Below are 12378 nucleotides of genomic sequence, written 5' to 3'. Positions count from 1 at the left end.
AAATTAGAAATCAAATTATCAATGAAGCTTTATACCCTATGTCTTTATAAAAAAGCGTTACTAAATTTAAAAAATATTATGTGTATTCCTTCTTTGGAATTTTTAAGACTAGTAGCCTAATGAAAATCTTCTAATTTCAAGTTTATATTACCAAAACCTAGCTGGCTTTATTGCCAGACTAATTATGTGGTACACAATAAGTCATCACAACACTTGTCTGAGCAAATAAAGCACTTTTTAATATCTCACCACATCCTAAATCTCAAAATCTGACCAAAAGCCCAGAGTTGATTCTACATTTGTGTCTTTGGGTCACATTGTTTCCTCACCTGGGAATTATTTCCCTGACATTCCACATATTTCAATGCTGTGTCTCCTTAAAGACTCTCCTCACTTTCTGCTATAACCTCAAACAAAACAACTAAAACCTCTTTGACCAGCTCCTCCTCTAAAAGCCTCAAAATGCCCAGAGAACTCATGGTCTTCTCCTAAAGGACATGACTGTATTCACTACCAAGCAGATATTTGTCTATTTATGACCACAGAGAATTGTTTGTACCCACTTGTCTTCAGAGAGAAGGAAATATCTAGTTATTTTGCATTCAATATACTATTATATTATCACCAATCCCTTGAAGTGGCAATAAGACAATTATTCAGCATTTCATAGATTATGCCATCAAATTATTTTATAGCCATTGTCCTCAGCAAACTAATGCAGGAACAGAAAAGCAAACACCACACTTATAAGTGGGAGCTGAACAATGAGAACACATGGACACAGGGAGGTGAATCACACACACTGGGGCCTGTGGGGCTTGGTTGAGGTGGGGAGTGAGGGAGAACATTAGAATAAATAGCTAATGCATTCTGGGCTGAATACCTAGGTAATGGGTTGATAGGTGCAGCAAACCACCATGACACATGTTTACCTATGTAACAAACCTGCACATCCTGCACATGTATCCCGAAACTTAAAATAAAATAAAATAGAAATCCTACTATTTTATATTTCTCCAGGTGAATTACCTGATCTTTTACTGAGAAATATATCCTTAAGCACAGTTCTTTAAGGAAAACTAAAGGACCAAGTTTATTTACCAAATTTCTCATGTACATACATATTTTAATATAAAACATTATTTTAGTATAAAATTATAATGTATGTATAAGAAGTATTAAGGTAATATAAAATTTATACAGAATACTTTTAAAGTAGAGATTCTTAAATTATTTCATATTGCTATATTATGGGCAAGATGGAATATCTAAAATATTCTAATAGGTGAGGCATGAAATACACCTTATGGTTTTTGGAAAAGCTCAACTTTATACTTCCCTTAGGCTTACATTTGAGTATGTCACTTAGAAAGGAGTCAGTTGAATTTAATGAATATTCTTGCCTGAAAATTTTCTGCTGGCTGCTATAATCATAGACACTTTAAATTTTTTTTAAGGCGGGAGAAGATAGCTACACAACACGTGAAACAAACCAAGGAGGCTGTATATGTATGAAGAATGTAGTTAATTGTTGAAATAAAAAGCAAAGTGCTATCTTCAAATAGAATTTTATCTAAAGTGGCCATGGATCCCAATATTCTACTTGCAGAACCAGCAAGTAGCAGATACCAGAGAGATGCGTAATAGTTTGGAAGAAATAAGGACAAAAAAAGGCACTAGATTTGGACTTTTAAGACCCAATTTTCAGGAGCGATTTTTTTTTTTTTTTTTTTTTTTTTTTTTTGAGACGGCATCTCGCTCTGTCGCCCAGGCTGGAGTTCGGTGGCATGATCTCGGCTCACTGCAAGCTCCGCCTCCCAGGTTCACGCCATTCTCCTGCCTCAGCCTCCCAAGTAGCTGGGACTACAGGCGCCCGCCACCACGCCCGGCTAACTTTTTGTATTTTTAATAGAGACGGGGTTTCACCTTGTTAGCCAGGATGGTCTCGATCTCCTGACCTCGTGATCTGCCCGCCTCAGCCTCCCAAAGTGCTGGGATTACAGGCATGAGCCACCACGCCCTGCATATTTCTAGGAGAGATTCTAACGATGTAATAGCTGTGTAAACTTCTATGTAAACTTCTTTAAAGATCAGTTTTCACATCTATAAAATGATTCCCATAAGACCTTCTATTATCTGACATGGTAAGATGCAAGATGTATTACATATAATAATGTATATAAAAGCATTTTGTAAATTATAAAGAACCATATAATTATTCAAAACACTTCTTGCTTGTTTATAATTGCGAAATAATATTTTGTCAAAGAAAATAAGAAATGCAAATTTTTTAAAAAAGAAAAAAATCAAATTACAAATAATTCTATCATCCAATAATCATTACTATTTCAGAGTGTAACTTTGCAGTTTTTCTTCTATATGCATGTATACACATAAATATCTTTTTAAATTTTGAGTTATGCTACACTTAGTGAGTTAGAAGTTTTTTTTAATATAGTAATATACTACACAGATTTAAGTCATCATTAGATATAAATGACAGTGGGTTACATATTTAAAGTTTTTCACATTCAAAACCAGCATTTGTGGGCTCAGATAAATAAAACAAAGAGAAAAAGTGTGTAGTGAAGAGACAACTTGACAATGAAAATCTCTCTAAAATCTCTGAATGCATAACACAGAGAGTCCCCAAGATTAGGACCTCCCTGCTTTTTCAGTGGGAACTATCTGAACTTCTTTGTCTTTTCATTGACAAGGGTAGCTCACCTTCAGACTTCATCTTGGAATCCAGTGAAGGAAGGGAAAGGGTAGTGGGTGCTGTGATGTCTGCTTATATTCCATCTTCAGGTGGAAGTACCCATCCCCCAGCAACTGAGGCTATCTGCTACTGATGCTTCAGAGCTCCCTGCTCACATGCAAAGGCCCTTGGCCAGGAACCACCTCACCCAGAGATGGCGCCAAGCTGATAATTGGCTAATAAAAGGCCAAAAGTTGGCCTGTTTCCTCAAATGGAAAAATTCTGAAAGGCCTTCCTCATTTCCATATAGGGGTATCTCCAGAGAACTCTTCCAAGGAACAAATTTTCTCTTAATTTACTCAACTTTCCATCTCAGAGCTGTTTGCAGACACCCCATGACAACACCACATCCAGCAAAAACGGCAAAAAAGGCCTAAAAGTGATTCAGTTATAGAAAGAAAAAAGAAACTTTTGTGGCTGGTTCTGAAAGTAATAGAAGGCTGGGATCCAGGGCCAATTTAGATAAAATTCTATTGGTAGACAGCACTTTGCAGGTTACTAAAGACTTTCACATATATTATCTTAGTTGAAATTCACAACAGCCTGGTAAGATGTGTTTTATTTTTTCATTTTTTATTTATAATATTTGTGTGTACATAGTAGATGTATGTATTTGTAGGGTGTATTAAATGTTTTGATACAGGCATGCAATGTGAAATAATCACATCGTGGAGAATGGGGTATCCATCCCCTCAAATGTATATCCTTTGTGTTATACAAATAATCCAATTACACTCTTTTCATTATTTTAAAATGTACAATTAACATATTATTGACTATAGTCCCTCTGCTGTGTGATCAAATAGAATGCTTTAAGATGTGTTTTATTATCTCCATCTTATAATTTAAGCATCTAAGAAAAGTAGATTGCATAGCATGATTTATGGAATGATAGTCCCTCAAAAATGCCTTCTGTAACCCATAGACTCTCTGAAACTTTTTATTTATCAGATACCTATAGAAGAGTTAAGTAAATATTAGTCATTAATTTCTTTAGTGTAAATTATCTTGCTTTTCCCATAGCTTCGGACATGTAGTTTCCATGACAATTTGTGGAAGATTAAATGATACTGGAAGAGTCAGGAGTAAAGGGAATATGAGAGGATAATTTTCTCTCCCCAACTGCCTTATTTCATAAATGGGCCCACCCTCCACCTCCAATCAAAATCTCCCACTGCACTCCATCTCATCCCATGCTCCTAGCCAACTTCAAGCTATTCCTCAAATAAGCCCAGCTCCCACACATTTCACACAATAGTTTGAGTTTTCCTACCTGGAAAGTACTTCATAACTCTTTGTGTTTGGAAAACTCCTATTCATCCTTCAAGATCCATTTCAAGAATTCTATGGCTTTTTCCTTCCTAGATTTCAAATACAGAGTTGATACCTTATTTCACCTGTTTATATCCCTTATTTTACCTCTCTGTTTTTTGTTTGTGCTGCTGTAATGGCTCTGGAAGCATGGTCTTGTATTTATCTGGTTTTATATCTAACTCCACCACTGGACTATGACTACAGAACTGTATTTAATTCTGTGTATAAAGATTTTGGGTTCCCAGAGTTTTGCTCAGTTTCTGGTAGGTTAGTGGTTTATCAATAAATGTTTACAGAGTACATGAATAAATAGTAACTTGACTGGGTAAAAAGTCATAGAATGATTGGATAGAGGCAGTTTAAAGGAATTAACTGGGTTTTGAAAGGTAAGTAAGAATGTTAGAATGATAAAATTTTATCTTTCCATACATTTAGCTTTATTAAATAGTTAATAAAGTAGTTTGGAATTTTCACATTAAAATTATAATGCATCTGAATTTCATAAGGTAGAAGGATAAAGAAAGGGGAGCATAAAATGTTCAAGTCAGAAAACAACAGATGGTGCTTCTGTTCATAGGGCTGTGGGACTTTCACCTTATATACCAATAGTCAGACAATGGCAGTGACTGGTTTACTAGAATTTGCCTCATATAAAGGCAATTGTTTTAGCAAGTTCACTGAGATATGGGGCAAGATGGCTGACTGGATGCAGCTAGTATGCACTGCTTCCAAGGATAGGAACCAAAATGGCAAGTGGATATTCACATTTTGAATAGACCTTCTATGACAGAACACTGGAATTCAACAGAAAAGTTAAAAGAAGCATGAAAAGCAAAAAAAAAAAAAAAAAAAAAAAGAAAGGGAAACAAAGCAGCCTTCTTGGCCACGATCCACTGGGAGCCAGGTGAAGATCTCAGATACGTAAAGAGAGTAAGTGAGAGACCTCAAGGGCTCCACATTCCCACCATGGACTTTTACAATCCTAGCTGTGAGAGAGCCCTTTGACCCTCATGGGTCCTGAGACTAACAAAGGGAGTTGCTAAACATTGCACAAAGGCATTGACCCAGAGGGGGAACTCATGGTGAGTCCCACAGGTTTCCAAGACCTGAGCAACTGCAACATGGTGCCATTCTGAGAGCTTAGTCCCAAGAGGACTATGTTATGCCCTGAGGCCAATACTTCTGATGCTGCCAATTCCACTGATGCTGCTTTGGGATGCAGGACCAAGGTGCAAGCAAACCAAGCTATGCCCCATAGCTACCTTCCTATGCTGTCTGACTGACAGTGGCCACACCCTCTCTGGTGGCAGGTCTGCAGTGCAGCTGCAGCTGCTCCCACCTAAGCATACTGCCAGTGACATGGTGACCACCTTGCTCCTGCCTATCATGGCCAACACTTGAAGTACTACCAAGAGGCCTGAGGACACATCCACCAGCCCAGTCCTGTCTCCCTAGTACTTCAGCACAACATCCAGGCACCTGGGAATTGCCCAATCCAGCCCGGCACCATTGAAACCTGAGCACTCTTCCTGGAGTCTGAGGTCAGGCTGACCCAAACTATCAATGCCACCATAGCAGGAACCCACCTACACAAGTTACCTGTGGGCCAGAAGACTGCCCCACTTAACTCATTGCAGCCACTGCCAAGATCAGCATCAACTGCTTGGGTTTCAGTGGGTTGCCCCACCACAACTACTGCCATTGCTGACATCATGCCCACTGCTTAGGGGCCAGAGAGCCCACCCACACACCTGGCCCAGCACTGCCACTACTGGCATCTGGGTAAGCTGCCTCGAGGCCCAAGAATCAGCCCACCTGGACCCCTAACACCAGAGCCAACATACTCTCTTCTGGGGATCATTAACAGGTACATTCAGCTTAATGCTGTCACCACAGGGGCCAAAAGACTGACCCAACTAGCATCCAACTCTCCAATAGAACTTCACCACAGCTTCCATGAATAACCCCATCCTAAGCCACTAAAGAAATCACAGATATAACTGAACTATATACATCCAAAGAAATCATATAGAGACTATATTTCTGCAGGACTAAAAATCAAAGCCAAAGTGCCCTACCCAGTGAACACCATAGATACCTCTTCAGGAAAACGTCATACCCTATGAAAACAAATTTTAAAAATTGGAATGCAACTGTTACAACAGATGTGCTGATATCAAAGTAAGGACACAATGAACATGAAAAGGGAAGAAAATATAAAACCTCCAAAGGAACAGAATAATTCTACACCAACAGATTTCAATCACAAGGAAAGTCACAAATTCTCAGATAAAGAATTAAAAATATTGATCTTACAGAAGCTCAGTGAAATGCAAGAGAAATATGAAAAACAATACAGAGAAATCAGAAAAACAATTCAGGATATGAATGACAAGTTTACCAAAGAGATAGATGTTTTTAAACGAACCAAACAAATCCTGGAACAAAAAAATTTATCAAATGAAATACAAAATATACTTGAAAACTTCAATAGACTAAATCAGGCAGAAGAAAGAATTTCAGAACATGAAGGCAGGTTTTTTGGAAAAAAAAGAATTAAAAAGAATGAGTAAAGACTTCAAGATATTTGGAAGAACATAAAGCAATAGAATACTCGAATTATAAGTGTCCCCAAAGAGAGAACAAAAGTGTTAGAAAACCTATTTAACAAAATAATAGATGAAAACTTCCCAAGCCTAGCAAGAGACTTAGATATTTAGATACAGGAAGCACAAAGATCCCTAAAAAGATGCAATGCAAAAAGGTCTTCTCTACAGTACATTATAGTCAAACTGTCCACAGACAGCTTCAAAGAGAGGATTCTACAAACAAGAGAGAAGCATCTAGTCATCTATTTTCTAACAAATCATCAGAATAAAAGCAGATTTCTCAGAAGAAACCTTAAAGCCCAGTAGAGAATAAAATGACATACTGAAAGTGCTGGAAAAAAACCTGTCACCCAAGGATATTATTTCCATTAAGATTATTCTTCATGAATGAAGGAGAAATAAAGTCATTCTCAGGCAAGCAAATGCTGAGGGGATGAATCACCACTAGAACAGACCTATGAGAAATACTCAAGGGATTCCTAAACTTGAAAGAACAACATTTACCATAGTGACAACACAAAAAAGTATAAAACTCACTGGTAAAGCAAACACACAAATGAGAAAGACAATGGACTCAAATGGTGCCACTATAGAAAACCACCAACCACAATGACAAACAATAAGAGAAAAAGAAAGGAACAAAGAAAATACAAAACAACAGAAAATAATTAACAGTATGACATTACCAAAACCTCAAATATCAATAATAATCTTGAATGTAAATAGATTAAACTCTCCACTTAAAATATATAGACTGGCTGAATGAATGACAAAATGTGATTCAACTTTATGCTGCTTAAAAGAAACACACTTCACCTATAAAAATACATATAAACTCAAAGTAAAGGGATAAAAAAGATATTCCACAAAAATGGAAACCAAAAGTGAGCAAGGTAGCTATACTTACAGAAAATAAAATAGACTTTAGGTAAAAAAAAAAAAAGTGAAAAAAAAGTGAAAAAAAAAGATAAAGAAGGTCACTATGTAATGTAATGATAAAGGGAAAGAACAATCCAGCAAGAGGATATAACAATTCTAAATATATATGCACCCAACGCAGGACCACAATGATTCATAAAGCAAACATTATTGGATTTAAAGAGAGAGAGATAGCCTCCAATATAGTAATAGTAAGGAAATTCAACACCTCACTTTTGCATTAGACAGATCATCTAGACAGAGATCTAGAAAACCAATAGAGAAATATGAGATTTAAACTGGACTTTAGAGCAAAAGGAACTAATGGACATTTATAGAAAATTCTATCCAACAACTGCAGAATATATACTGTTTTCGTTAGCACATAGAACATTCTCCAAGATAGACCATGTATTAGGCCACAAAACTAGCCTCAACAATTTTTTTAATTTTAAATTATATCAAGTACCTTCTAAGACCACAATAAAACAAAGCTATAAATTAATACCAAGATTAACTTTGGAAACTACAAATGCATGGGAATTAAACAACATGTCCTCAAAGACCATTTGAACAATGAAGACATAAAGATAGAAATCAAAAAATTTCCCGAAACAATTGAAAATGGAAACATAACATACCAAAACCTGAGGGACACAACAAAAGCAGTGCTAAGAGGAAAGTTTATATTAATAACCCCCTGCCTACATCAAAAAAGCAGAAAGATTTCAAATAACCTAACAATGTACCTCAAGGAACCAGAAATGCAAGAATAAACATAACCCAAAATTTGCAGAAGGAAAGAAAAAATAAAAATCAGAGTAAAATCAAATGAAATAAAGACTAAAAAAAATTACAAAGGATCAGCAAAAAAGTTGGTTCCTTAAAAATATAAACACAATTCATAAATCACTATCTAGATTAACCAATAAAAAGAGGCAGAAAGCCCTAACAAACAAAATCAGAAAGGAAAAATGAGACATTGCAACATATACCACAGAAATACAAAAGATAATCAGAAACTATTAGGAATAACTATTTATTAACAAACTGAAAATCTAAAGGAAATGGATAATAAATTCCTGGAAACACAACCTACCATGATTGAATCAGGAAGAAATCGAAAACCTGAACAGACCATTATGAATAACAAGATTGAGTTAGTCATAAAATATCTCCCAACAAAGAAAAGATGAAGACCAGATGTGTTCCCAGCTGATAGCGACCAAATGTACAAAAGATAAACATAACCAATTCTCCTGAAGCTATTCCAAAAAATTAAAAACAAGTGAATTCTTTCCTACTCATTTTATGAGGCCAGCATCATTCTGATAACAAACCCAGACAAGGACACATAAATGAAGAAAATGACAGGCCAATATACCTGATGACCCCAGATGCAAAAATCCTTAACAAAATACTAGCAAACCAAATCCACCAGCACATCATAAAACACCATAATCAAGTGGGATTTATCCCAGATATGCAAGAATGGTTCAACATATGCAAAACTACTGATATGAACCACCACATCATCAGAATGAAGGATAAAAATGACATGATCATCTCAATAGATGCAGAAAAAGCATTTAATAAAATTTGACATTGCTTCATGATAAAAACCATCAACAAACTATAAATAGAAGGAACATACCTCAAAATAATAGACTAAGTAAGACAAACCTACATCTAACATCATAGTGAATGAGGAAAAGCTGAAATCCTTTCCTCTAACATCTGGAACACAACAAGCACGTCCATTTTTACCACTCCTATTCAACATAGTACTGGAAGTTCTAAACAGAACAGTTAGGCAAGAGAAAAGAAAAATAAAAGAGGTTTAATTGGAAAGGAAGAAGGAAGATTGTCCCTCTTTGCTGATGATATGATGTTTTATGTAGAAAAACCTAAAGTTTCCACCAGAAACTCCTAGATTTGATAAATAAATTTTGTAAAGCTGCAGAATACAAAATCAATATACAAAAACCAGTAGCATTTCTATACACCAATAATAAACCAGTTGAGAAAGCAATCAAGAAGGCAAACATATTTATGATAGCTACAAAAATATACTTAGGAAAAAATTTAACCAAGGTTAAAGATCTCTACAAGAAAAATTTCAAAACACTGACAAAAAGTTAAAGAGGATGCCCCCAAAATGGAAAGATAACCCATGCTCGTGGAATAGAAGAATTAATATTATTAATATTAAAATGATCATATTGAATAAAGCAATCTACAGATTCAATGTGATTCCTATGAAATACTAAAGTCATTATTCATAAAATTAGAAAAAACAATTATGAAATTCATGTAAAATGAAGAAAGAGGCCAGGCGCAGTGGCTCACTCCTGTAATCCCAGCACTTTGGGAGGCCGAGGCGGGCAGATCACGAGGTCAGGAGACAGAGACCATCCTGGCCAACATGGTGAAACCCCATCTCTACTAAAAATACAAAAAATTAGCCAGGCGTGGTGGCGCACACCTGTAGTTCCAGCTACTTGGGAGGCTGAGGCAGGAGAATCACTTGAACCCGGGAGGCAGAGGTTGCAGTGAGCCAAGATCACGCCATTGCATTCCAGTCTGGGTGACAAAGCGAGACTCCATCTCAAAAAAAAAAAAAAAAAAAAGAAGAAGAAGAAGAAGAAAGATCCTAAGAGCCAAAGCAATCCTGAACAAGAACAAAGTAAAAGGCATTACACATTACACTACCTGCCTTCAAAATTTATTAAAAGGCTGTAGTAACCAAAACAGCATGGTATTGGTCTAAAAATAAATATAGACTAATGGAATAGAAAACAGAACCCAGAAATAAATCCACGTATTTACAGTCAACTAATCTTTGACTAAGCTGACAAGAAATTACTTTGGGGAGAGGACACCCTCTTTAATAAATGATGCTGGAGAAACTTAATAGCCACATGAAAATGGAACCTTCTCTCACTGTGTACAAAAATCAACTCAAAATGGATTAAAGATTAAATGTAAGCTCTAAAATTATAAAACTACAAAAAAAAAAAAAAAAACCTAAGGAAAACTCTCCTAGACATTGGTCATCTAGACAAATAATTTATGGTTAAGACTTCAAAAGCACAGGTGACAAAAACAAAAGTAGATAAATGGAACTATATTAAACTAAAAAGCTTATGCACTGCAAAAGAAGTAATCAACAGTGAAGGGACAAGCTGCAGATATGCTCTCCAGCCTTCTCTGCTCTGCTCTGTGCCCAGGAGGCTGACCTCTATGCCTTGTGATCCTATTTGGCTTTGCCAGCAAGAAGCACTAGTAGCTGATCAGAGAATGGAAGGAAAGAGAGATGGGGCACTCCTCCCTGTGAAGTGCAGGTTAGCAGTAGCTACATTCCTCAGCCTAAATTCACAGCTCCTCTCTGGTCCTCCTCTCCTTCAGCTGCAGTAACCACTCCGTTTCCTGCTGAGATCCTAAGTGATACAAGTAATAAAGCAGAATACTACTTTAGAAAATTTTCTTCCCTGCTTCCTTCCTGCTAGACTTTAATTATCTGTTCATATACTATTCCAGCTTATTAGGGAGAAACAGTTCTTTTGAGAAGTAGCCACATTTCTCAAGCATTAAGGACTCTAAATTATATTTGTTTGGTACCTATCAAGCATCACAGTCCCCTGATTACTAGATATGACTATAGTAATGTGCATTTATTGGGCAATCACCAAATGGTTGTTGGTTTCATACAGTGAAATCTAACCTAAGCAATTTCTGTGATTATTTTATGATCCCAATTACCTCAGTAATGTTACCTGAGGCAAAAAAAAGAAAAAAAATTAACAAAAAAAATCATATTATCAATCAAATAGAAAAGAACTCAAAAGCTTTTGAAATTTCTAGGACCACCTTTGGGAATAATCAGTGAAATTGAATAAAGCAGCTATATAGAAAAGAGGTCACAATTTTTAATCAAATACAAGTCTAGTAACTGCATATTTTTACTAATGAACAGCATTTAGTCTTTTCTTAAGGAATAAATTAACTTTATATGTGTTTTAAGAAAATTTCTTAAACAGGTGGCTTTAACTACAACATATATTTTCCATCTCATGTATCTGTGTATTTACAAAATTAGAAATGTCCATCTTAAAATATTTTAGTAATTACTACAACTAAATTGGAAAGGAAAATAATACATAAATAAGGCAAATAGTGTTATTCCACAGCAAATTCAAATAAACATTAAATTGTTTTCCTTACTTATTGTGTTTACCAGCTAAGTTATAAAAATTTATTTGTACAACATAAAAATACAAAACTTGTGGAAATTGAATCTTGCAGAAATTTGTTTAACTTTTCATTATGTAAATCAAAGAAGCAGAGCACCTACAGCTTTGACAAATGAAGATTAAGTACCCTATTTGTGTTGGTTAGTTCACTCTTTCACAAACCACAATCCTGAAAAAAATGAGAGGGGCCGCATTCCAGGTGGAAAAACAAACCCTTTTAAAGCCAGAACAAATTTGACCCTAATCTACTCGACCACAACTTTGCCTCACTGAGAAAGGCTGAATGATAAACGGGTTAGTAAAACCAAACCTATCAGAAAATGTGTTATACCCAACACTGAAGAGAATGACAAGGACATAAACCATCTGGACTGTGGTGGAAGCTCATAACCTCTTCTATGTGTTATCAGAAGTTATACTTAATAACTTTATGGGAAAGTACTCAAGCTGACCTTAAAATACGAGAAAAGTTAAGAGACATTCTCTCCTCTTGGTCCTGGAAAAATATGATGCTCCAGCTTGTAAA

At 35.8% G+C, this 12378-nt stretch overlaps 1 long non-coding RNA gene across 2 annotated transcripts in view, besides 1 other annotated feature; it reads right to left on the bottom strand.

Moving 5' to 3' along the window:
- The window catches only part of LOC107984041 (uncharacterized), a 367164-nt gene that overhangs the window by 151010 nt on the left and 203776 nt on the right, over nucleotides 1–12378 (bottom strand). The gene's annotated exons all lie outside the window — the stretch shown is intronic.
- Nucleotides 10704–11293: an enhancer, noted in NCBI's record as "OCT4-NANOG hESC enhancer chr6:101534194-101534783 (GRCh37/hg19 assembly coordinates)". NCBI's record gives its function as "activates a minimal SCP1, AML or CMV promoter by ChIP-STARR-seq in naive H9 embryonic stem cells {active_cell/tissue: H9 hESC(naive)}" and the evidence as "EXISTENCE:reporter gene assay evidence [ECO:0000049][PMID:30033119]".

The sequence above is a fragment of the Homo sapiens genome, chromosome 6, assembly GCF_000001405.40.
Source record: "Homo sapiens chromosome 6, GRCh38.p14 Primary Assembly".
Lineage (NCBI taxonomy): Eukaryota > Metazoa > Chordata > Mammalia > Primates > Hominidae > Homo > Homo sapiens.
Note: the sequence above shows the minus strand (reverse complement) of the source record. Positions and strands in the feature narration are given on the sequence as shown.